General features: G+C 37.7%; 1 protein-coding gene across 22 annotated transcripts in view, besides 1 other annotated feature; it reads right to left on the reverse strand.

Annotated features, from left to right (window-relative positions):
• The window catches only part of TASP1 (taspase 1), a 534,161-nt gene that overhangs the window by 498,355 nt on the left and 8,000 nt on the right, over positions 1-27,806 (reverse strand). For 17 of the 22 annotated variants that reach the window (XR_001754319.3, XR_007067463.1, NR_136629.2 and 14 more), the window contains exons 2-4: positions 26,808-27,026; positions 22,059-22,126; positions 20,320-20,388 (exon numbers count right to left, since the gene is read on the reverse strand). Coding sequence is in view for 12 of the 22 variants with exons in the window: in XM_047440269.1 (XP_047296225.1) it covers positions 20,320-20,388; positions 22,059-22,126; positions 26,808-26,952 (282 nt within the window). In the remaining 10 variants the exon portion in view is untranslated. Of the gene's footprint in view, positions 1-7,704; positions 7,794-13,730; positions 13,998-20,319; positions 20,389-22,058; positions 22,127-26,807; positions 27,027-27,806 lie in introns of those variants that run through there. The other 5 variants (NR_136630.2, NR_136631.2, NM_001323603.2 and 2 more) reach the window with 3 other exon arrangements.
• Positions 23,676-23,970: a silencer, noted in NCBI's record as "tiled region #9064; K562 Repressive non-DNase unmatched - State 24:Quies". NCBI's record gives its function as "represses a minimal TATA promoter and a strong SV40 promoter by Sharpr-MPRA in K562 cells {active_cell/tissue: K562}" and the evidence as "EXISTENCE:reporter gene assay evidence [ECO:0000049][PMID:27701403]".

Consider the following 27,806-nt stretch of genomic DNA (forward strand, 5'->3'; position numbering starts at 1 on the left):
AGACTGAGGCTAGAGAATCGCTTGAACCCGGAGGGTGGAGGCTGCAGTGAGCTGAGATCACACCACTGCACTCTAGCCTGGGAGATAAATTAAGACTCCATCTCAAGAAAAAAAGAAAAAAGAAAAATGGGCCAGGCAGGGTGACTCACACCTGTAATCCTAACACTCTGGGAAGCCAAGGTGGGCAGACAGCTTGAATCCGGCAGTTCAAGACCAGCCTGAGAAAAATGGTGAAACTCAGTCTCTACAAAAAAAAAATACAAAAATTTGCCAAGCATGGTGGTACACGCATGTAGTCCCAGCTACCCTGGAGGCTGAGGTGGGAGGATCGATTGAGCCTAGGAGGTGGAGGCTGCAGTGAGCCATGATCATGCCACCACTCTCCAGCTTGGGAAACACAACAAGATCCTGTCTCAAAAAAATAAAAATAAATAAGTTTATTAAAGAAAAATCAAACCACAGTCTGGGAGAAATTTTATAAAACATATTATCTCTTAACGGACTTCTATCCAGAATTTATTTTTAAAAATCCATACATAACGCAGTAAGACAATCCAAAGTTTTTAAGGGGCAAACAGTTTTATATAGATTGCAAATAACACATGAAAACATGCTTAGCATCATTAGCCATAAAATGTCTCTTATTGATCAAACTCTATTCAAATTTCCCTGAACTACTTTTCAACTGGGCTAGACTTTTGGACTTCCATGTTTATCTCTGTACTGTTCAATTTTAATAAGAATCTTGCTAAATCAGTCTAACAAGATACTCCCACCCTTGATATCTGGTCACCCTCAATATTTAATCAGATTCCTCATTCTCCACCATCCCCCAAGTGACATCTGATCACTGTGGTCTGTCTCCAGCAAGAATTCTGTTAGGCCGATTTAGCTAGAATCTCCCCTTACCTGTGATGTTTCCTGTTAGTAATTTTCCATCCACTGACTCCTACCCAGTTTTTTAGCTATAAATTGTCACTTGTCCATGCTGTATTCAGAGTTGAACCCAATCTCTCTCCCTCACTGCAAAATCCCATAGCAGTTGACATGGTCTGGATGTTTTGTCTCCTTCAAATCTCGTACTGAAATGTGACCTCCAACGTTGGAGGTGGGCCTAGTAGGAGGTATCTGGGTCATGGGGGCGGATACTTCATAGAATGGCTTGGTGCTGTTCTCACAGTAATTAGTAAGTTTTCACTGTATGAGTCCATGTGAGATCTGGTTGTTTAAAAGAGCCTGCCACCTCTTCCCTCTCTTTCTTGCTCCCTCTCTCACCATGTGATATACCGACTCCTCCTTTGTCTCCTACCATTATTTTAAACTTCCTGAGGTCTCACCAGAAGCTGAGCTGATGCTGGTGTCATGCTTGTATAGCCTGCAGAGCCAAGAGCCAAATAAACCTCTTTTCTTTATAAATTATCCAGCCTCAGGTATTCCTTTATAGCAATGCGAAAGCAACTAATACAGCAGTGGTTCCTACAGCTATCACAATAGTTCCTCCCTTGAATAAAGTCTGCCTTACCACCTTTCACACGGGTCATAAATAATTTTTTCATTAACAGTAGCCATTAGGGAAATGCAAATTAAAACCACCAGATACCATTATATAACCACTAAAATGACTAAAATTTAAAAGATTGACAAAACTAAGTATTGGCAAAACTGCAGATCTGTGGAAATCTGAATGAATTATATATGTTGCTAGTGAGAACACAAATGGCAAATTGTTTAGCAGTTTTCTTTAAAGTTAACCATACACTCACCACAGACTCAGCAATTCTATTCCTAAGAATTTTATCTGTGAGAAATGAAAGCATATGTTCACATAAATTCACATAAAGTCTACATAAAGACATAATACATATATATATATATATATATATATATGTATTTCTTATACACCCAACAATATGGGTGAATCTCAAAAGCATTACGTGAGTTAAAGAAGCCAGTCACAAAAGATCACAAGTTCTATAATTCTATTTAGAATAAAATCTAGAAAAGACTGAACTATAGTGACAAAAAGCAGATAATGGTTGCCAGGGGCCACTGAGGGAGAGGATTCACTGTGGATAGGTATGAGGGAAATTTGAGAGTAATGGAAATGTTATACATCATGATTGTACTGGTGGTTACACAATTGTATATATTTGTCGAAACCCATCAAATTGTACACTTTACATTGATCAATTTTGTTGCATGTAAATTATACTCCAATAAAGCTGACAAAAAAGTAGTATACCTATTACTTGACATAAACTAATCAGCCTATATACTAACTTGCCCCTTATAAATAATAAAATCACTTTTGGAGGCTGAGACAGGAGGATCACTCAAGGTCGGCGGTTTGAGACCAGCCTGGGCACCACAGTAGGACCCCATCTCTCCAAAAATTTTTTTTTAAATAGCTGGGCATGGTGGTGCATGCCTGTAGTCCCAGCTGCTCGGGAGGGAGATCAGGGAGACTGCTTGAGCTCAGGAGCTCTAAGCTGCAGTAAGCTATGATTGCACCACTGCGCTCCAGCCTGGGCAACAGAGTGAGACCTTTCTCTAAAAAAAAATAATAATAAATTTAAATAATTTAAAATAATATACATAAACTTTTTAAGCGGTCATCTGATCTTCTGATGTAACTCATTTTGCGTAATTAATAATCATGTCCAGTAAGTAGCCAGTGCTCCTTTTAAAATCTGTCAGACTCTGTCACTCCTCTGTTCATAAACCTACAATGGTTTCCTAGCACACTTAGAATAAAATCCAAAGTCCTAATTTTCAACATTTACAAGGCCCTACATGATCTGACCCTTCCCTCCCTCTTCCAACTTACTCTCCGCATTCTTCTCTCTTACCACACTCCAGCCCACACTGCGATTCTGAGCACATCAAGAAAGCCCCTACCTCAGGGCTGTTGCATCTATTATTCATTCATTCCTTTGAGATGCTGAGTTTGGTGAGAGATTTCTAGTGAAAGAAGAGGGCCCATAAATATAGACTGCATGTGTGTGCGTGCGTGTGTGTGTGTGTGTGTGTAGATGCATTACATGTATGTATAAATACCTGAGGTCCCACAGTGATTAGTATTATAAAGAAGAATGAAGTGGAATATGAAGGGACAGTGGGTACTTTTCTCTCTGAACAAGAACTCCCTTCCCCAACATCTTCACATGGCTTTCTCCCCCATTTCATTCATGTCTCTGTTCAAAAGTCAGCTTTATCAGAGAGTGCTCCCCTTACTGACTCATCTAGAATAGCATTTCCCCAGCCATTCCCAACATTCTCTTATCTCTATTTTATTTTTCTTTATGGCACTTTCCGCTACCTGACAGTATACATAATTTTTGTTTGTCTACCCCTCCAAATAGAATGTAAGACCCTTAAATATAAGAATTTGTCTTTTTAGGCTGGACGCGGTGGCTCACACCTGTAATCCCAGCACTTTGGGAGGCTAAAGTGGGCAGATCACGAGGTCAGGAGATCGAGACCATCCTGACTAACACGGTGAAACCCCGTATCTACTAAAAATACAAAAAATTAGCTGGGCGTGGTAGTGGGCGCCTGTAGTCCCAGCTACTCGGGAGGCTAAGGCAGTAGAATGGCGTGAACCCAGGAGGCGGAGCTTGCAGTGAGCCGAGATCACGCCACTGCACTCCAGCCTGGGCGACTGAGCGAGACTCCGTCTCAAAAAAAAAAAAAAAAAAAGAATTTGTCTCTTTAGGTGCTATATCCCAATATGTAAGGCAATGCCTGGCACATGGCAGGTAGGTAATCAATAAGTATTTGCAGAATGAATGAACAGCAGTTAATTATAACTAGATATAAACAGAGTAATTATTGTGAGCTATAACCCCTTAAGCAAGCTGATACTTATTAATTCTTACAGGTTGCTCCTATAGAGAAATGTCAGGAAAATGTAGTGGAGTGCTAAGAATCTAATCTTTTCAAGATTAAAACAAGAGAAATTAAACAAACTTAGGCAACAGTATTTTCTGTTTCTAAAAAATGGAATTCTAAAACCAAAATATATTTTAAACTTATTCATAACTTTTCAAGGAGACATGGCTTTAAGAAGTGAGATGCCCTTTGACTAACCAACCCAGCAAAGAGAGGGCAGAAAGGCCAACAGGCAAGTCAGGAGCTACTCTCCCACCACGACATGGAAACCCTTTCCTATTAATGAAATTTTGGAACCCCAAGCCAAGGCAAAGATCTGCAAAGTATTACTCTTTCACTATAAACCACAACTTGTATTACCCATTTAATGTCCTTTGCTGAAGGCATAAAATAATATAAGAACTGTTTGCAAGGCTCCAGGGTATACTGCATCTCTGAGGATCTATTATGAGACCTCTATTAACAGCTCTTACAGATGCAAACAATTTAGTTTTCAAATATTGTACAAAAACTAGACTGGCACATTATAAAATCATTTTTATATAAAATGATTTATGTTTGTCCAATTTCCAATCTTCCTTTAACGAGAAGTCAGACATTAACAGGAAATTACTAATATGTTAGTACTCACACTCTGTCGCTCAAGTGCAAATTCAACAAACACATCATTAGATACATGAAATAAAGTAGAATATATAACTCTTGTTGAAAATTGAATGTCCTATCAAAATCATTTTAATTGAGTTTGTGACCAGCCCGGCCAACATGATGAAATGCCATTTCCACTAAAAATACAAAAATTAGCCAGGCGTGATGGCAGGTGCCTGTAATCTCAGCTACTCAGAAGGCTGAAGCAGGAGAATCACTTGAACCTTGAACCTGGGAGGCAAAGGCTTTAGTGAGCCAAGACTGTACCACTGCGTACTCCAGCTGGGCGACAGAGCAAGACTCTGTCTCAAAAAAAAAGAAAAATCATTTTAATTACTAACTTCATTGATAAGCAGATACCTTTAACCTTCTAAAGCTGAGAAAGGTGGGGAAAAAGCTTTCGAAATGAACTTTCTTGCATCTTTTTAAAAGAGTTACAAAAACAGGATATGTACTCCATGTCATTATACTCTTTTTCAAACTAACACTAGTAAAACTTGTACAATATGCCTATCTTAGCTAGCACTATTCTAAGAATTACTAATTTTCTGGTATCCCAACATCAGTTTTCATTTACAGGATGAATGGAAGCCAATGAAACTGTATTACTGACTGAAAAAATCATTTGGGGAATTTTTTTTTGTTTAGTTGCCAATTAAGCTCAAATTTTCAAGAATTGGATGGTTAAAAGATTTCCAATTTAGATTCCTCTGTGGTAGCACAGGTTAAGAGTCATTAATTCAACAAATATTTATTGGACACCATTGTACCAGGCAAATCTTTTCTGTAAAGGGCAAGATATATTAACTAGTTCAGGCCTCGTGGGCCACATAGACAATGCTACAACTACTGAGCTCTGCCACTGTAGCACAAAAGCAGCAATAGAAAATACACAAATGAATAAGCATGGCTGTGTTCCAATAAAACTTCATTTATGGATACTGAGATATGAATTTCATATACTTCTCTGGTGTCATGAAATATTATTCTTCTTTTGATTTTGTTTCAACCATTTAAAAAAGTGAAAATCATTCTTAGTTTGCAGGCCATTCAAAACCAGGCATCTGGCCAGATTTGGCTTTCTGGCCATAGTTGGCCAATCCTTGATCTAAACCACGGGGATATAGCAGTGAACGAAACAGAAAAACATTCTTACCTACATGGAGCCTCAATTCTAGCTAAGGGAGACAAACAATAAGAAATTAAATACATTAGATAACATGTCAGATAGCAGTAAACACGAGAGTGAAAAAATAAAACAGGTAAGCAATAGGAGTACTGGGGATGGTCAGAGGGCTTTTATTAAAAAGAAAACTATAGCAGTAGTTACAATTTATTTATCATTTTTTTGGACATAATTTCAGACTTATAGAAAAGTACGATAGTCTAGTATCTAGACTATATAAAGAGCTCCAAATTTCAATAACAACCCAAAAAATCAATTTGAAAATGGGCAAAAAACTTGAACAGACTCAAATAAACATTTCTACCAAAAAGATACACAAATGGCTACAGGAACATTAATATATCCAATATCATGATCATCAGCGAAATGAAAACCAAAACTACAAAGATTTTACTTCACATCCACAAGGACAGTTATGACGACAAAAACAGAAAATAGTAAGTGCTAACAAAGATGTAGAAAAAATTATAACCTTGCATATTGCTGCTGGAAATGCAAAAAGGGTTCATTCAGTTACCATGGAAAAAGGTTCAACAAAAAGTTAAACACAGGCCAAGCGCGGTGGCTCACACCTGTAATCCCAGCACTTTGGGAGGCCAAGGAGGGCAGATCACTCGAGGTCAGGAGTTCAAAATCAGCCTGGCCAACATGGTGAAACCCCATCTCTACTAAAAATATTTTTAAAAATTAGTCGGGCATGGCGGTGGGCGCCTATAATCCCAGCTACTGGGGAGGCTGAGGCAGGAGAATAGCTTGAACCTGGGAGGCGGAGGTTGCAGTGAGCTGAGACGGCGCCATTGCTCCAGCCTGGGCAACAAGCGCAAAACTCTGTCTCAAAAAAAAAAAAAAAAAAAAAAGTTAAACATAGAATTAATTACCATATGACCCAGCAATTTCACTTCTAGGTATATACCCAAAAGAACTGAAAAAAGTTACTCAAATACCTATACAAGAGTATTCATAGCAACACTATGCACAATAGCCAAAAGGTAGAAACAACCCATATGTCCATCAATGAATGAATGGATTTGGAATGAAACAAACTGTGATAGATACATGAATAATGTTGAATACTGCTCCTCCAAAAAATGAAGTACTGATACATGCTACACTGTGAACAAACTTTAAAAACATTATTCTAAGCGAAAAAAGCCAGACAGCAAAGGCCACATAAATGGCATGATTCTATCAATATAAAATATCCAGAAGAGGTAAATCCATGGACAGAAAGCAGATGGGTGGTCCACAAGGGGGAAAGGATAAAAGAATGAAGAGCAACTGCTTGATGAGTATGAGGTTTCCTTTGGGGAGATAAAAATGTTTGGAACTGAAAGTGGTAGTTGCACAACACTGTGAGCATTTTAATGCCATGGGATTATGCATTTTAAAATGCTTCATTTTGTATTCTAAGAATTTCACTTCAATTTAAAAAGGCAGACACAAAAGAATACATAATATATGATTCCATTTACATGAAGTTCTAGAACAGGCAAGACTAATATATGGCAATAGAGGTCAGGACCAGTGTTACCCTGAGGTGACTGAAGGGGGCACAAGGGGCCTTCTGGAGGGCAGAAATGTTCCGTTTGCTGATCTGGGTGCTAGTGACACAAGGCCGGCCATGTTCACTCTGAAAAAAATTCATGAAGCTGTCCCCTTAAAATAAATGTGTATAGTTTTCCATATGTATACTATACACACAAGAAAGCTTTGAAACTATAAAATTTTCAAAATAAGATTGCAAATTTTTTAAAAACTGTTACCATTGTGAATTAAAGGGTCCAAAGGATCTCTCAGTATTATTTCTTATGCCTGCATGTATCCACAATTAACTTACAAAGTTTTTTTTTTAAAGAGTCAAAGAATTAAAATTCCAGACTCTCATCCCCAAAGATTCTGGTCCAGGTCATGAGTTGAAAGCTAGGGAATCATCATTTTTTAAAATAAGCTACCTCCAACAATTCTAATCCAGCCCTCACCTTGAGAAACTCCAGTGTAAATGAACTCCGTCAGCTGCTTAACTTCATATTCTCCATGAACCACATCTGGAGGGGGCTTGTAAAGGCATCTATTGCAACAGCACAGAGGATATTGGGAGTAAAAAAGCTACAAATGATCCATGAGAGGCTACAAAAGCTAACCACTCTGGGGCTAGGATTCAACCCTGGAAAAAAAATTAGATGGACTGGAGAAAAGTTAATAAAATGGGAGACAGTCAATGGTAAATAGACATAGAAACCTTTCTGGGCAATCATCACAAAGACAGCCATAAATATTATCCACAAAACAGCAATTTTTCTTATGTTTTCCATTAAGATGTAATGCAATCAAGATAAATGATGTTGGAAGCTAAATATCCTTTAGGAAGTTATCAGGACAAAGTGTGAAAATCAGTGCAGTATGCTTGGACTTTCAGTACGTTCCTTCATCACAAACAGTAAAAACAATATTTCACTCCTGGGACTAAAAGTAAATAAACAATTTGGTTCAACCTTATTTGGGTCACCGAGGTTTTTGATCTGCTTTAGCTTCAGGTCAAAAATTTTAGAGTGATATACTTTGGTATTAGTTCAAATTGTTTCAATGAGGAATTTTTTTGAAAAGTCTAGTTTGATTTGAAGCTCATTTTCAAAATAAAAGTTAATATTTAAGTCCAATTCCTATTCTGAAAAATTAAATCAAAGCTCATTCCGGCTTTACTATTAGTTTGGTAGAAATCCCTATTACAACAATTCGCAGCCTCTAGACCATTAAATTAATGACCATTAAACCATACATTCATTTCCCTGGCCCTTGCAACAAGACAAAAGCTAATAATCTCTGTCCAAGACTTATTTCCAGCTATACCTTAAAATGATATACAGTGCTACAAAAGCTCCTACACTCAAAAGAACCAGCTGTCACTTAGCTCTGGGAGATTGTAGCCCTGGGAGAATGCATGCTCCATGTGGCCAGATCTCATTTTTGCCAAGATAATTTAGAAGTCCAGATGCTTATATTAGTCTCCTCATTTTTACATGTTGACAACAAATTCCAGTTTTTAAAAGCTAGTCTATGGGCCAATCAACACGCATCTGTGAAATGTCTCTTTTGCAATCTCTGGCCTACATCACTTTGTAAGATTAAGAAGGTCTCAAGCTTCTTCAGATGCAAAATCTAAGCTTGCGTAAATCTTCAGTTTTCCATACAATACAGGTTTCAGGCAAAATAGCTCTTTGACACAAATGACAGTCCTAACAACAAATTTTATTATCATGCTTAAATATTTAAAATATTGAATTACCTCTTGCTACTTAAAGAAACAATACAGAAGTAACCTGTACTGCAGTCTACCAAGTGTCAACTCACCTTTACTAAAAAGAGCCAGATTAGTGGTCAGAAATGCTGCATATCTTCTGATTATAACAAATAAAATTTGTAATACCTTTTTCCTTCTCCAAAACGAGTCAGATGAGCTTTCTACTCAGAGTCCACAGGAAGTCATGGTATTTTTCTCAAATACCAGAAAACTAATAAAATATCATGGTATTTTTCTCAAATATCATTAGTATAGACAACTTCATCTACAACTTTACCCAGTGGTAAACTGCCTATCAAGACAAAACATGATAACCTTTTTAGAACTAGTAATTTGTAGCAAACACACACACACACACACACACACACACACACACACATTCCCCATACACAGAAGCGCATGGGAGGTGGGGCTATAATGTTCAGGTAACATGCAAAAATGGCAAAGATATAATCAGGTAAAATAATTATAGGATAATGAGAATCTATCTATAAATCAGATAACCAGCCCCCACATAGGGAAAAGTTGACTCTTCCATTCCCACTATGAACATTAACGACTTCAAGATCAAGAAAGTAGGCACATGACATAAAATAAGTATTAAATTTTGAAGAAATCCTGGCATTCAGATGGACAGGGTTTACGGAAGAAAAATTCTCTGGTAAACACAGAAACAGTAACAAGATAACCAACTCAGATATCTGTTCAAGTACCCTGCCCAAGAAATTAAAATTACTACATCCAGGACTTGCCCCTCCATCTTCTCTCCCAGCACGCCCATTCACCATTTCTCTGCACTTATTTTAGGATATAGAGGATGGGTTTGAAGGATGTAAATCTATCAATTATACTGCACTTTGTTCAGTTCTGGAAAAAATGCTCAATGAAAAGAAGGTAAAACTATGGCAAAACTTTTTTTATTAGTAATAAATTTAACTGTGTTAACCTTGTTTTCCATGACAAAATAATTACAGAATATGGACAATAATAGAGATCTGCAACATAGAAGCCACAAGAGGATTAATAATTCCTTCTAAGTTTTGGTATAGTATTGATCTAAAAAGCAGAATTTTCATAACTGCAGCTAATTGGAAGTCACATTATTTATTATCATGGGACTACAGAAAGCAAGGTCAGAAAGAAGCTAGACTTATCATCCAATTTAATATCCAGTTTGCAAGTAGTTGCTAACTACAGCTTAAAATATTTCCAGGGAAGTTATATATCCATGTGAATATGAACGTGTTGTGCCGAAAACACAGAAAACATGCAGTTCCCATATAGCAGAGGGTGATCTGCCATTATAAACACTCTTAAGTCAATGCTTGTATAGGAAAATTAGCAGATATTTGCAAATTCATTTTCGGGTCACTGAAAATTAAAGCCAGAAAGCCTATTTTCATCCATGTATTGAAAAAAAGGCACATGAGATTATTTCTGTAGTGATGCTGCCTGTTCTTAGACTTATTCTTAGTCACATATGAACATTTTCACCCAAATACTGGCCAATTATAAACAATTAAGACATGCATTACTGAGCTATATATTATTATGTTTGAGGCTGTAGCCAATTGGCTACAGCCAATTAATATTACATTTATAAAGAGTAAAAAGTTCAAGAATTAATGAACTTTAACCAATAAGTTTCAGCAGAGTTAGCCACAAAACACTTTTATTAGGCCCAAATGAAGTATCTTTCATTCATTAATACAGAACCTCAGGGCATACTTGCAAATCAGAGGTTCAATTATCTTAAAAAAAAGTTCCTAAGGAAACAAAAAACTTTCCATTTTTGTTCTGTAAACTGCTCCTAAACAACAAGGTATTCTTTCTTTTTTGGCATTCTCTTTTCTCCCTATCTCAGGACATATTTACAGATGCACTGGCTGCTTTACAGACATGCTAAAAGTTCTTGCTGCAGTTGATCAAAGTTGGAATGTCTGAGGAAATTACTCAACTTAGACAGCCTGGAATTATATCTAGCCAAATAGAGCACTCTACTTTCAACATGTGTTAAAGTAATATTTTAGCTATCCTGGATGTAAGTTGAGAGAACATTTGTTTGCATCACATTCTGTGAACACTTGAGTCAAACATAGTATGTTGAATACCAGGTTTTAGTATCTGTGACAGTTCATTTTTTTAACTATTCAATTTACAAAAGACAACATACTTCATTTAAAAAAAAAAACCCTCACACAACAACATACGTAGTAGAAACTAAGGCTTTTTATGATCTTCTTTAAGTGCCCAAGCTTTTCTGGAAATGTCAGAAAAAATTGAACCAATGTTAATATTTGTTCATTAGAGCATTTGTTAATCTGACATAAAATATTCTGTCCAAAAATGGAAACTTTACTTTTTCTTGCACTGCCCACTATGAGCTCAAGATATTTTTATTATTTAAAATATTTTCACAAAAAGGCACTGCACATCTGCACTCACCTCCTTTCTATTACTAATCTGCCTAATTTACAAGGGCACATACAACATAATTAAGCAGAAAAATGACATCACAACAGTTTTCACATTTTTTAATTGAAAGCCACATAATTACAGTACAGTTACTTGTCAAAAACATAACACAAATCTCTAAAATAGAATATTGGCTTCAATAAACTTTCACATTTGAAATAGTTTTAAACTTTGTTTTAGTTGGATTCTTTATGATGTCCAGGAAGAGGTTAGTTAGCACACACAGTACCTGAAATTGTCCTTTCCACATGAGCTAAAACAGAAAAGACAAATGTAGCTGTTTCTCCAGTACTACCAAATTTGGCAGCCACTTATACTTCCCTTCAACCTAAATAATTATACCTTTTAACCATATTGACAATAATATGGAAACATCACTCAAGAAGAACCTAACAGACCATGGAATTATAATAATTTAAACCATCCTTTTATCAAATGACATGGTCAGAACTGGAGAGGAAAGAGGGATACTAGTAACTTTTAAGTCCTCTACTAAGCTTTTTTTAATAAAAAGACTTCCAACCCACTAGAAAACGTTGCTTACATTTGCACATACTCCAGAAAAGGGAAACATAAATAAATTCCCCACTCTGAATGTGTTATAGTGTTGATGTCCTGTGTTACAGTACATGTGTGTCATGAACTGTCAGGAAATGTGTACACCATGCAGGAGGCTGGACCCTGAGTGAGAATGACTGCCAGTAAAAACTACCTGGCAATGGGAATGGCCAAAGAACTTCTGTCAAATGTCTAAGATTCAGCTTTAAGCTGATTTCTATAGTGAGGTACAATCCTTCATTATTCTAACACTTAGGTAATGAACACATGAAAGAAAGAGAGAGAGGAGAGCAAGATTTAGAATCTTGATGAGAATCTGGTTTTTTTTTTTTTTTTTTTTGAGACACAGTCTTGCTCTGTCACCCAGGCTGGAGTGCAGTGGCACAATCTCAGCTCACTGCAAGCTCCACCTCCTGGGTTCATGCCATTCTCATGCCTCAGCCTCCCGAGTAGCTGGGACTACAGGCACCCGGACTACACCCAGCTAATTTTTTGTATTTTTAGTAGAGACGGGGTTTCACCGTGTTAGCCAGGATGGTCTTGATCTCCTGACCTCGTGATCCGCCCGTCTCGGCCTCCCAAAGTGCTGGGATTACAGGTGTGAGCAACTGTGCCAGGCCGAGAATCTTAAAAATTATGTAACTTAAGTTTCTTCCTCATTCTTTTCCAGATTCTGAATAAAGGGGCGGGTTTGAGAGATGGAAAAAAAACTTAAAATCAAAAGGTAGTCTTTGAAATTAAACACCATCATACCAGCCTGTGATTTTCCAAACATAGAAAAATCTTATTAGCCTACATCCTTCATTACCAAGAGCAAAACAGACAAAAACAGTAGATGTTAAGGTATAAACCTGATGCCGCAAATGACACAGATCCAAACAAACACAAATACACATACACACACACACACACAATCATTCAAAAATCACAACACTATAAATCCTAGGACCAATGAATCTAATTAAATCCCTTTTGTGTAATATTCCTATTAATATAGGACTAGAAGACATTTTACACTCAAAAATCCAAAAGTCTAAATTGTTTCCACGTAGTCAAAACACAGGATTTCCACTAACTACACCACGCTACCATATATGGCTTTAGGTAGCTCAAAACTGAATTCCAAAATGAAGTATATTTTTGAGAGTAACAACTCCCAGAGAAAAACAAGGGCATACATAGAGAGTTCCATGCTCCTCAGGAACTGCTAGGTCTGATCTTGGACCCTCTCTTCTACTAGATTCAGCCAGGATGAATATATCTGATGAGATCCACATACCTCATCAAGAAATGGCCGGAAAAGCCTAAAATCATTTTTCATGTTCCCATTACTACAAAGTAAAAGCATGATAAGCTCTATACTTAAGTGTTTTGACTTGGTCAAAAGCTAACACCGGGTTTGCTACCATGTAAAATTAATCTAGAATGTAATCATTGATTCCGTTTTCTTTTTATTCTTTAAAAAAAAAAAAGGGCAGTTGGGGAAGAAATCACTGCTTTTCCATTAAGCAGGTACTTTGTGCTAGAGAGCATGTGTCATTTCTAGGGTCTCAGAAAAAGAACGGATGTATCTATGTGTAAACACAAACAGTAAGTTACAAGTTGCCCCTTAGTACTAAAGGCAAGAATCAGCATCAGTACTCAAAAAAGTGTTTTAAAAAGAGTGTAACTTACTTTTACTGTCCCAGGCTAAATGGGCTCTGTCTGGTGCTTCTTTGTCTGCACATGGCCACCCACAGCCTGTCTTCTAATTAAATCAATGCTCTAGCAGCAGAACAAGCAAACAAGTTGCCTCCCATCTGCGTACAGCTCTTCAGGATACATTTCCCTTGTTCAGAAGGTGGAAATTCTTGGGAGAGGTGATTTTCTCTGCCTCTTCACAAGAAGGACATGGATACTTGGCTGGATGCAACTCCATGAAGTGTAACTGTGTGTGTACACCTCAAAAAATAAAACAAAAAATGCAGAGAAACATAAAGACTCCATAAACAGCTGGAATACACAGAAATACTGAAGCACCACTGGGAATACTGCTAAACAGACAGGCAAAATAGGGTCTTTGAAATAATCAATAATACCAAGTAAAGAAAAAAAACAGGAAAAAAGAGCACCTAAGGTCAAAACTCAAATTTCATGCAATGAAAACATTGTAAGTACTACAAAAGAAAAAAGGTAAATCTTCTACTTCACATACATAGAAACACATCCCACTCCCCTTACAGAGAATAAAAGATATTATCAATGGAAGAAAAAAATGAGATTTTCAAGGGTGGTAGGTCTAAAATTAGACTCACCAGCCACATCATAGTTAATGAGCACTTACGTAAATGTGAGCTAAATGCATCAAGCTGTCTTTCCAGTGTGGTCAGCTCTACTGGGGGGCAGGGGGCGCTGGGGAAAGAGCAAGGGACCACTCTGCTTATGAAAATATAATTTCTACAAAAAATAAAAATGTACAGGAAACTGGAGATGCTCGTTTATTTAAATAATTTTAAACTTCCCAAATAACAAAAATGACCTTAAAGCAGATGCCCCTCCTTTTCTGCAATAAAAACCAACTGACTGAAGTAGGGTAGGGAGCAGGGTGTGGTTAAGCATCTGCTCACAAGAAAACTTGTTATAAGTTTGGTGAGGTGAAAAGGGAAATTATCGGCCCTTCCCAATGTCCCCTTCCATCCTAGGTATGCCCATATGCCATCAGGAAGCCACACCATCTCCATGACCACTAGGCATTTCAAGGACTGGCAGGCCTTAGAAGTTTCTTCTATCCCCCTGAGGCACACAGACAATTCCAGCCAGAAGTATAGAGCCCAGGGAAGAGAATATGGCCTATTCCTGCAGCTGCACAAGAGGCCTGGGCTGGGGTCCGCTCACAATGAACTACTCAAGTGTGACCAACATTCCCATTCTGGAGATCCCTGCCTGCCTTAAAGAAATGAAGAGCTAGCTGGGCACGGTGGCTCACACCTGTCATCCCAGCACTTTGGGAGGCCGAGGCGGGTGGATCACTTGAGGCCAGGAGTTCGAGACCAGCCTGGGAAACATGGCAAAACCCCATCTCTACTAAAAACACAAAAAAAATTAGCCAGGTGTGGTGGCGCACGCCTGTAGTCCCAACTACTCAGGAGGCTGAGGCATGAGAATCATTTGAACCCGGGAGGTGGAGATTGCAGTGAGCCAAGATCATACCACTGCACTCCAGCCTAGGCGACAGAGCAAGAATCTGTCTGAACAACAGCAAAAAAAATGTAGAGATACAGACAAATGTATAACAGTATTATACATAATAATATAAATATATAATGAAAATACCTACTTTCTTTCTCTTACATACCAAAATATCAGTCACCTGAATAAGTTATTCTTAAAGGACTTCCCTAGAGTTTACAAGCAAGCAATATTTGTATTACACAGAGATCCAAGACAATGAACTGTTTTTAACAGAATGACTAAAAACTTGGCCCAATATAATCTCCCCTATAAACACTAAAGCATTTGGACAAGAAACGAGTTTTAACCATGAATTAGCATCTCCCCTGACCATAGGGAGCTTTAAAGCATGAATCAAGTGAATAAAAAACTTCACAGTCCATTTTTAATAACAGAAGTTCAACAAAAGATTTTTAACAAAGGAACCTGTATAATTTGCCTTTTACTATATAAAATGTAAAAGCTATTCCTATCACTATTCTTTTTTTTTTTTTAGACAGAGTCTCACTCCGTAGCCCAGGCTGGAGTGCAGTGGCACAGTCTCGGCTCACTGCCAACCTCTGCCTCCTGGGTCCTGGTTCAAGTAATTCTCCTGCCTCAGCCTCCCAACTAGCTGGGATTACAGGAACGCGCCACAATGCCCAGCTAAATTTTGTATTTTTATTAGAGACGGGGTTTCACCATATTGGCCAGGCTGGTCTTGAACTCCTGACCTCATGATCCATCCGCTTCGGCCTCCCAAAGATCCGTCCACTTCGGCCTCCCAAAGTGCTGGGATTACAGGCATGAGCCACCGTGCCCGGCCCCTATCACTATTCTTAATACACAGTATTCTACCTACCAAAATAATCAGTTTTCAGAATGAATTAACCAAACTTTCTCAAAGGTTACAACAAGATCTTCAAAACCTCTGCCAAATTCATCAGTTTTCTCACAAAAGATTATAAATTACCTTCCAAAAGTCTGTCGTTCATATTTCACCTATTATTACTCATTAGACTTTTTTAAACCAGGTCTTCATACTTTATAAGAAAAACACCAATGTGCAAAATGAGCTTCAGGCAGTATTTTATAAATAGTTCATTTTCTATCAGAATCCATGAAACACTTTCTACTTTAGAAACAATCCTAAGAAAATGGTAGCATCATGACTCACCCAGTTCTATATCCAATTTTCTCAAAAAAGAAATTCACATCACAAGTTACACCATGTGAAATATGCAAAATTATGGTCCAGAATCTTAAATCCACGTCACTACTTGATCCAAAACTATTTCAAAGGCAGCCAAAAAAGCAACTGTCATCCAAATGTATAGTCCCAAATATGAAGACCAAATTCTTTCACAATATTAATCTTCTCTGCTGTGAGTGAAACCAGAGTTGTACCATCCAGTGAACAGAATTCACTTTCTCATCAGTTATTAAGATAATCTCAAAAAAGCTATATGAAACAACAGGAATGAATCGATTTACCAATAAATCATTAAAATATGATCTATAAACTGACCTTTCCATTTTCTTCCCTGCATTTTGAAGATAAACAAAATATATTTTGGAGTAATATCATTTGCATTTCCACACTGCAGAAAACCTCTCATACAGAAGCAGCCACCTTCCCTCCCAAAACTCTAAAGGAAGAAGGTGGTCAATTTAATAGATAGGAACTTTTGCACCCGCCCCTCCTTTACTTAAATGAAGAAAACACCTCATTCTGGTGTCCAGAAGTGACAGTCTTAAGATGACATCATTTGTCTGCAGTGGTGGTAAAGAAAAATAAAACCACACAAAATTATCAGTCTCTAAGAAAAGCTAAAAAATGATATGTCTGCATAATTCCCTTTACTCTGTGTGTGTGTGTGTCTCTGTGGTATTTACACACACACACACACACACACACACACACACACATACATATACACATATTTCTTTTGCCTTGTCTCTTCCTCTTCCCCATGCATGGAGTTAAGAACGGTGTACTTTTCACTATTTGGGAAAATACAAATTATCACATTTTTTAAATATACAGCCAGATACACTTTCTAGGCAATAAAGACCATTAGAACATTTCAGTCATTTCAATCCACAATTAGTATTTAAGGAATTCACATCAATTTCAATATCTGCCTAAGTAATAATATAACGGGCAAGTTTTTAAAATATGTTTATGTATTGTTTCCTTAAGCTCAGTGGCAAGAACATCATTTTTTAAATCAAAAAGTATATCCCAAAGTCTAAAGAGAAAAGAACAATGACTGTTTGCATCTGTTCAATAATCCAGACATGACTTAACTGAATAGACTGACCAAAACTAAAGATAAGTGTTTATTCTCAAATTAAATATAACACATTGTTAATACAGCTCTCCAGAATTTTTCTCAGCACTTTTCAGTATTCTGAAAGGACTCAATACTGCTACTTATATTTCTCTAAGTACAGCAAATACTAGAATCCAATCTTCTTACATCTTTCCATTGACCCAAGCTATTACAATACTACCCCAACTGAACTCCATCTGAAAACCTATCCTGTTTTAAGGTAATGAATCACAATTATTCAAGGTGAGAGAAACTGCAGGGGGAAGTATAAGCATGATTTCCAACATACTTCTTAAGATTTAGGAAAATTCTTCCAATTAGTGTAAGCTTAACCTTAAACTATTAACATATATTTCATTCAAAGAGTCCATAGAAAAGTTAATTGTTAGATAATTAATTGAAATTCTTCCACAAATTTAATAATTACAAGTTGAGGCCAGGCACGGTGGCTCATGCCTGTAATCGCAGCACTTTGGGAGGCCGAGGTGGGTGGATCACCTGAGCTCAAGAGTTCAAGACCACCCTGGTCAACATGGTGAAACCCTGTCTCTACTTAAAAAAAAAAATACAAAAATTAGCCGGGTGTGGTGGTGCATGCCTGTAGTCCCAGCTACACGGGAGGCTGAGGCACAAGAATCACTTGAGCCTGGGAGGCAGAGGTTGCAGTGAGCCAAGATCGCACCACTGCACTCCAGCTTGGGCTACAGAGTGAGAATCCATCTCAAAAATATATATATAAAAAATAAAATAACTAAAAGTTGAGGTGTGGGATGTACTAAAGTCACTTGGGGAAGAATTCTATGCTACCATTATCCTTATGACTTATTCCAAGCAAAAATAATAGAACAAGAAATTTTTTTCCTTTAAATTCATATCCACATTCTTAAAAAAACACAAGTTATCCGAAACTGTAAGTCCACCTACTCAGGAGAAACTCATTATTTCAAAATGTATTTTTATCATTTTTAAGTATAAATAAGTAAACCCCTTAAAAGTAGGATTCAACACTAGGGGAAAATAGAATGAAATAGTAAACATGATATATAAGTATGACTTAGGAAAATTAAAGTTATTCTAAGATGAAAAGAGAAACTTAATTTTATTCAGTTTTGCATTCATAGTTGCCATTCTAGTATATTCTCCAGATACTCATTAACCTTCTTTCCCAGACCTACAGTGACTCCATGAAAGTAATTTTCAACTAACAATTGAACTAGTTAAGTTAGATGAAGCCCTCTTTGTGTGTCTGTTTTGAGTAAAGGTAACATTTGGTGGTAAATACATCTATCTTCTTTCTTATGTCATTTTTCTCCTCTTATCCTCAACATATAATTAACCTTTCTTTGATGCTGTAAAACTTGTCATTAATAGTTGCCATAAATATTCATCTCATACATACCATTTCCAAAGCACCTCATAACTGTAATAATTGCTAACAGTTATGGGGTGCTTACTACGTACCACACACTGTTCTAAGAGACTGTCATGTATTAGGCATATACTAACTCAGTTTATCTTCACAACTCCATGAAGTGGGAATTACTATCCTCATAAATAGGGAAACTGAGTCAAGGACAGACTGTGCCACACCCACGGACACATGGCTAATGACTGGTAGAGCTGGTATGAAATGTATCAGTCATATCAGGAGGGCATCACACATCCCCATGTCAGATTCAATAGAACTAGGTGCCCACCATATACTTTCACCTTCCTTGACTACATTAGGACCAATCTGAGAAATTAAAATCTACAAAGCATGATCAAAAGCTCAGGTCCACAATTAAGCAAGAGAATATACAGAAAGCTCAGGTCCACAATTAAGCATGAGAATATACAGAAAACACGGCTAGGACTAATGGTAAACACCTGGGCAATTTTCACAAGGAAAGGCATGAAAGGGTAAGTGCCTTGGTATGAGAGCCTAAATACAAGGGCCACAACCCAGTCAACCTGGAAATGTCGACTTTATCATCTCCTCCCTCAAACTCATCATTGTTTTTGTCATCATGTCTTACTTGATTCCCTAAGTAGTATTCTCAACCAGAAAAATATTTTTCACAATAATCCTCTCAACTGATTGACACAAATCTATCTTCTCCAAGTTTGAGCAGCAAGTCGATCTTCTGAAGACCTCAATATCCCCTGCACAAATTCATCAAGGTTCCAAATCAAGAGAACTGAGAGAACCTCACTCTAGAGTATAAAAAATTATGGCAAACGTGAGAGCCTCCCCACTCAATTATTCGATGTCCACAGTAAACTGGGGACAAACCTAACCATAACACTGGGACAAGGCACACTTCACAGCACACAATTTCAGGGTATATATCTAACTGTTAGGTTCGTGAAGAATCTTCCCCTTCTACTTTAGGCACTTCTAGACAGTTGGAATTTTTCTTTTATTTTTAAACAACAGAATATACATCACTTTTTGGGGGTTAACTTCAAGGATTTTCCTACTGAAAATGGGAAACTTAAGTATCCAATCCTTAACTTTTGTATTCATGAATCTCACAAAAAAAAAAGAAAAGAAAGGAATTTAACCAGCTTTTATATTACTCAGAAAAGTCACCAATGAAAACAACAATATCATAGGCTTCTTCATAACTTTGCTAATATTGGTGGGAAACACTGCTCATATAATTTATGGTTGACTAACTCAACAATTTCATGTCATTTAAGAACAATAAAGATAAACTCACAAATATTTTAAATAAAACAGAGAAAAGAAATACCTCAAGTTCCACCAGTGCTGCAGTGACTGCGTCAGTTGCAAGAGCACCGGCCTGCAGCTTTTCAATTGCCTATGAAACCAAGGGGAGAGATTATTCATTGCAAAATCACAACTTCTCAAACTTTCCAAAAGCTTAAAGAAGTATGGGAGACACTTAGATTAATAAAAATTGACCACTAGTTCCATTCCATACTTTAAGACATAAACTACTCAGATTAAAAACAAGCAAGTGTTTATATTCAGGTTAATTGGTAATATGGCTCACTTAATATTATTCAAATTAAAACAATAAAATCTAGTTATTAAATGAAAAGTACAAGGAATTTAGTAAGCTTCATTCATTGTAAGGCAATTCAAAATAGCCACAGAAATTGTATGACCCAGTTTGGTTCAAATATCCTGACAATTCATATTTTATACAGAACACTAAATCTCAAACTAATCATTTCTCCTCCCACTGTTAATACTCTCCATACTTAAAAAGAAGTGACTCTCAGTCACAGGGGCATGCCAGAATCTGAGGATAAAAGCATACATTTGACAAAAACATTTTGGATACTATAATGTAAATTCTAAATCAAGATGTATCATATTATTTTGTAATATAAACTACACAGACTAAAGGTCTATAAAATCACCTGGCCTTGAGCATAAATTAGGAGAGGAAAAGAGAGAGAAGGAAAAGTCATTTATAAATGAATTATTAACATTCCAATTTAGTCAACAAAGAGAAAACTCAAAAACTAAGAACTGTATTCCTAATTAAACTTTTAAGAAGTTTATTCATTGTAAATATTAAAGAGGCTAAGTATACGATTCAAATGTATTAGATTTCTAGGACTATAGTTATATAAAATTTATTTTCAGATGACAGAAAAATTTCACACTTTGAAAAATAAGAAAAAATATAAAATAGCTTCGAGAACTTTTAGCTTTATTATTACAAATTTCAAAAGAACAAAATCCCTGTAACAAAATATTCTTATTTATAGGACTTCATTCATAAGAAAAAGCTTGAATCTCTGATAAAGTATAATCTTCTTTTTAATGTTACGTAAATATCAATGAAAAGAGCAGAGAGAGAGAGACGCATATTTACTTGATATATAATATTCAACTAGATTCTATTTGCATAAAAAGTAATGGAAGGTTTGCCTACAAGACTAGTAAGAATCAAAATAAAAACAAACATTTCTTCTGAGTCCATTCCTGTCCCCACATTAAATATTCAACAATTTAGCAAAACCTCAAAAACCAATGGGAAAAAAGCACAACTGAGTACAAGGGCAAAACTGAACTCTGGAATGACAATGAACTTGCTATGATACAAACTACATGATGAAAAACAGAATGAAAAAGTATAGGAAAGTACCCATTTTAATTTTTTTATTTATTTTTTTCCCTTCATGGAAAAACACATTGACTGCCTTTAAGCTGTTTTCTCTATCCTTCTGTCTACAGAAGTTCAACATCGTTGCAAAGATTAAAAGAGATATGATTGTGTGCCCACAATTACAAAAATACAGACTTTAATCTGGGAAAGTGGGGAAAGAGCTAAGCAACATGTGGAGAAAAACACAAAACAACACAAAACGATCCCCTACAAAAACAAGCAAAATAATTTTGTAGTCCAAACTGGAAGACTGTCCTAGAAATGAAACTTTTAAATGTTGAATTTCAAGGTAAAACTGCTTTCTGTTCAAAACTGCAATGCACAGATCATACACATTGTGTTCATACCTTCTGACAAGCTCGTTTGCATACATGTTTATACTCCTTGGCTTTGGATTCAGAATGATAACCTGCACCTAAAGTAGAAAATAAAATCCAGTTAATTATTAAAATATCAAGAGACCTTGCTTATGTTATATAAATACTCCATATAAACTGATGCTGTCCTAGTAAAAAACAAAACTATTGCCCTAACTGTATGGCGTTTTATGACTTCTTACTCCAGTGTAAGCCTTTTTAATACCATGCCTTATCTCCGTTTTCAAAAGCTCTTTTCCTGCCAAAAGCCCTAAAAATAGCTCATGTCCCCAAAGAGGCTTCACCAAGGTCCCCTCCCCTCTTCTTTTCAAGAACCTCTTTCCAAAATCAGGAGTTCTTTTGATCTGCAGCTAATAACCCAGAAGGTGTCGGGGACAGGGTCCCTCCGGGTTCCTCTCTGCTGACTGTCAGAAAGCCCCTGCCATTTGGGAAGTTACTGTTTCAAATCCAGAATTCATAAGAGTAATTCAGAAAGCTGAATCGCTTCTGAATAACATTTGAAGTTGAGGTGTCTTACATCTCGCATGTCCACAACCACCACCAATTGCACCATTCCTAAACAAACACTTCACATCCTCTCACCCACTAGAATGTAGCTCAGGGTGTCTCTGAAAGCTAAGTGACAGCACATTCATGACTCTCTATGAGAATTCCTGGTGGTCTCTGTCTTTTAATCAAATACCCAAGAACTGTCTCAAGAGAATGGCTCTGAATAAAATGGTTTCCCTACAAGGATACATAACTTGCTTAGTTAGGGACTTAAGAATAATCTAAACAAGAAGGAAACAAAGACAAGAGCCCTTAAACTCTCTTAATTAGGCCTCTCTCTAATCAAAGTTCATTAATGGAGCACTGAACCACCTATCCCTACCCACCCCTAAAGCCCCATAGGGGTCCAATGTATGGAAGGTTAAGAAATACACCTCTAGGCCAAACACAGTGGCTCATGCCTGCAATCCCAGCACTTTGGGAGGCTGAGGCGGGAGGATCACTTGAGGCCAGGTGTTTGAGACCAGCCTGGCCAACATGGAGAAACCCCATCTCTCCTAAAAATACAAAAAAAGTAGCCAAGCATGGTGGCACATGCCTGTAATCCCAGCTACTCAGGGGGCTGGGGCACGGGAATAGCTTGAACCTGGGAGGCAGAGGTTGCAGTGAACCAAGATCATGCCACTGCACTCCAGCCTACGCAACAGAGTGAGACTTTGACTCCAAAAAACAAACAAACAAACACATGTTTTCCATTTTAAAAAAGACAAAAACAGAAAAGCTACATCTCTAGGCCTTAGGATTCCTACAGGTCTGCAGACTCTGACACAAACCTAACCTACCTTTCCTCAAGGTAGAGAAAGCACTCACCCACGAAACTGTCGTACAAGGAGCCAGGAAAGCAGAGATGCCCAAGCCACCAGAATCCACAATACACCCAAATCCTAAACCTGTTTCTCAAGAGAACTCTGAACATTCACAGAGCCTGTGCCAATATTTAATAGGCCTCTCTTCATGGTTCTCTAAGAACAGGTGATCTCAAGTTGGCTGTCTTAGATCTCAGAGGCCACAATCTTTCAGCAGCATTTCCTAAAGCATGGGATACTATTCCAAAAAGATGACTTCAGTGTAAGGGACAAGGGCATTTAATAGCCTTAACATGTAAATCCTTTTGAAATAATAAAAGTCTCAGCAGAGCCCCCCCCCCACCCCGTACATCTTTAATTCCTGGTTAACACTTGCTAATTTCCCTGTTTAACAATGGAAAGGCAGGCTCAGGATCCAAGCCACTGACAAATAGGATCTAGTTAAACTTCAATTACAGTGTTTTGTTTGCACTGTGTTTAAAGTTATTTTCTCTTTATGGCAAGTGATACTGCTATTTCATTTAAGTAACCATAAACTTCATTTTTCAAATGTTAAGATTAAAAAGCGTTTAGTTGTTTGAATATTAGATAAAACAGTATAGGCAGTGGGAAAAATCAAGAATCTACTACATGAATCACAAAAGTTTGGGCAAGTCTACTCTAGTGCTAAAAAAACTGCTCTACACTGGACAAGGATATGAATTTTTGACCCTTAAATGTGCAAGATACACGCTTTTGCATAATCAATCACTCTTTCTAATAATTTAGAAGTGAGGGTCACCCTTAATTCACACAATATCCTATCATAACTCAGAGTTCCTACTCTTCTTGCTGACCCCCAGCACCAACCTTTACCTGAGAGTATGAAATTAAATAATTCAAAGTTAAAACTGTTGAACCAGCTGGGCACGGTGGCTCATGCCTGTAATCCCAACACTTTGGGAGGCCGAGGCGGGTGGATCACCTGAGTCAGGAGTTTGAGAGCAGCCTGGCCAACATGGTGAAACCCCATTTCTACTAAACATACAAAAATTAGCCGGGCATGGTGGCACGTGCCTGTAATCCCAGTTACTCAGGAGGCTGAGGCAGGAGAATTGTGAAGCTTGCAGAGTGAGCCAAGATCACACCACTGCAGCCTGGGCAACAAGAGCGAAACTTAGTCTTAAAAAAAAAAAAAAAAGTTGAGCCATTAAATCATTCTGAGCCTTGAAAGGAATGTGGCTATGCACCCTGAGTCACACAACATGCAGCTGCAACTTTTGCCTTTTTCCTGTAAATAATTAGGAAGACCAAACAACACCAGAGATAAGACCCTCTCAGATCACTGCCCCTTCTCACAAAGTAAAAAGTAATCTTCCTTAGGATGTAGCAATCTATAACCAATCAAATTGCTGTAACTTATGCACTGGTCTCCTACGGAAAATGTTACCATCCTGCTAAAATTTTTCTATCTCTACCTACATAAATGAAAACTTAACTTCTCCACTTTGGAACACAGACCCCATTTGTTTGGAGTCAGTGTTTCCCAGGTGGACATCCTCAAGCTTTGTGCATGAATAAGCTCTACCTTTAATCATAGCTTCTGAATTCCATTATTTAAGGTTGGCAGAGCCATTATCATCTAGTCTGTGTCTAAGACAGGAGGGACAGGGTCATAATAGTTATAGAAAGTAAGGCTTTCCAACTAATTGAAGCTTTATGTTATTGCTTGTTACAACTTTCAGACCTTTCTTTTACACTTTCCAAACACTCACTCTGAATACGGTAACTCACTGGTATCATGGAAGATAATGGAAGATGTACCATCAACATAGTGTAGTGGAAAGAACACAGACTAGGAGTCTGAAGGCAGAAGCTCTAGTCCCAGGTCTACTTTTAACTGGATTATTTCTGTAAATTTACCTCACCTCCTTGTAAAAGCACCTGTGAGAAAATGGGATTAAACCTGGTTTCTGGTTTTTTGGATTTGTTTAGATACTCTGGATTAGATTCACATAAGGCTTCTCGGGTTGTCCAGTCTAGATATGGCCAAACGTTAATGGCCAGGCAGGACACCAGTCTCACAAGAAGAAACATTTCTACTCCTCATTCCATATCAAAGTTAATCCTGCTGTCATCTTGCTTGACTACCCAGGGAAAGTTAAAAGGAAACCCAGACATTCTTTCTCTCTTCATGGAGGTCATGGAAAGTAGACTCTGAATACAAGAAAATAAAAATGGCCAAAGGAAAAAGAGCCTGCTGAGGAAACCTGGGCAGAGCAGCACTGTTCTGCAACCCAAGACCTTTTAAAGATGGGAGGCCCAGGGGATGAACTCCACTGTGTCTGTCCTCATGGTCCTCTGAAGTAGAAAGATCACAGGCTGACACAGCATCAAAAGCACTAGACTGAGACATAAGGGCCTACTTAGGTGTTTCTTACACTGGCTCTAGCACCAACCACCAGTGTCTGAAGTCTCTTAAGTCACTTAATCTCTCTGGTCTTAAGGTTCCTCACTTAAAATATTAAGAGGGTGGGCCGGGTGTGGTGGCTTACGCCTGTAATCCCAGCACTTTGGGAGGCCAAGGCAGGTGGATCACCCGAGGTCAGGAGTTTGAGACCCACCTGGCCAATATGGTGAAACCCCATCTACTAAAAATACAAAAATTAGCCAGACGTGATGGTGGACGTCTGTAATCCCAGCTACTCAAGAGGCTGAGGCAGGTGAATTGCTTGAACTTGGGAGGTGGAGGCTGCAGTGAGCCAAGATCACACCATTGCATTCCAACCTGGGCGACAAGAGTAAAACTCCATCTCAAAAAAAAAAAAAAAAAAGAAGGTGAACCAGCTCAAAGATTGTGTAATAATTATGCCCTAAGATACCCACAGTCTCACATGGGAATCAATACAATTTTTTCAGCAATATTTTATTTTATTTTATTGAGATGGTGTCTCGGTTTGTTGCCCAGGCTGGAGCGCAGTGGCATGATGTCGGCTCACTGCAACCTCCACCTCCTGGGTTCAAGCAATTCTCCTGCCTCAGCCTCCCACAGCAACATTATTTTTAAAAAACATAAACCAGAGTTCAAAAATTACTTTGTCTGGTTTTAATACTACCTAACCTAAATACATCTATTACATAGAGTTAAAGTAAATAATAGGTTAGGGAAGTGAAAACCTAGGAAGAGCTGCCATTCTAAGATCTTCTAACTGGGGAGTAAAGAGGGAGGTCCTCACTATATCCAAGTCAAACAATCGCTTTGCTTCCAATTCCTCTCTGGCAGTTTTGCCTCCTCCAAGTGTGAAATGTGATTCTCAGTGTACTTCAAGGCAGAAAAAGAAAAATCAACATTATTGGCATCTTCCAAGCCATCCACAAAGCTTACCTGCATGCACCAACACAAAGCCTCCTCGTTTCTCTTTATAGGACTGCTTTGTTTCCAACTCTTTGGCTGTTATTTTACCAGCCGAAACCTGAGATGATCTGGAAGGCAGCCCTTCTCCAGAACTCATCCCCTTCTCCATGGTCATTCTCCAAGATTACCATCTTCTACTGAGAAAGGGGCATACTTCCATCCAAAAGTAATTGCAGGAGAGGAATTACCCTAAAGGAAAACAGGCAAAGATGGTATACATTTCTTTCCACCAACACATAAGTTACTTACACAAATTCATGCAAAGATAATGTTCAAAAATCCTATTTTTAAGTTATTTAATTGAGCAATACAAAAAAGGTATCAAAGCTATTTATTAAAATTATTTTTTCTTATTCCCATTGAAGTCGGATAAAATTATTTAATTGGGTAATATAAAAAGGTTAGAATTTAAATCTCTCTGTCCACTGATAGTACCTGCTTAGGGGCGAGCGCAGTGGCTTACACCTGTAATCCCAGCACTTTGGGAGGCTGAGGCGGGTGGATCACCTGAGGTCAGGAGTTCGAGACCAGCCTGACCAACATGGTGAAACCTCATCTCTACTAAAAATACAAAAAATTTAGCTGGTGTGGTGGCACACACCTGTAATCCCAGCTACGCAGGAGGCTGAGGCAGAAGAATCACTGAACTCAGGAGGCAGAAGTTGCAGTGAGCCGAGATCGCACCACTACACTCCAGCCTGGGCAACAAAGTAAGCTCTGTCTCAAAAAAAAAAAAAAAAAAAAAAAGGAGTCTCAAAAAGAAAAAAGAAAAGAAAAGAAACATAAAGAAGTTACTTAGCTGCCTATTCCAAAATAAAAAAAAGCAGGTTACTCAGAACACACTCTACATCCCAGTGTTTATTACCAGCCCACAAGAGAGTATTATTTTATTCATGTTAGTTGCTTTATAAGCACATTTTCAATAATCAATATGTGTAGTTTTCACAATTCTTTTCTAGTTCCTCATGT

This window comes from Homo sapiens, chromosome 20 (assembly GCF_000001405.40).
Source record: "Homo sapiens chromosome 20, GRCh38.p14 Primary Assembly".
NCBI classification, from domain to species: domain Eukaryota; kingdom Metazoa; phylum Chordata; class Mammalia; order Primates; family Hominidae; genus Homo; species Homo sapiens.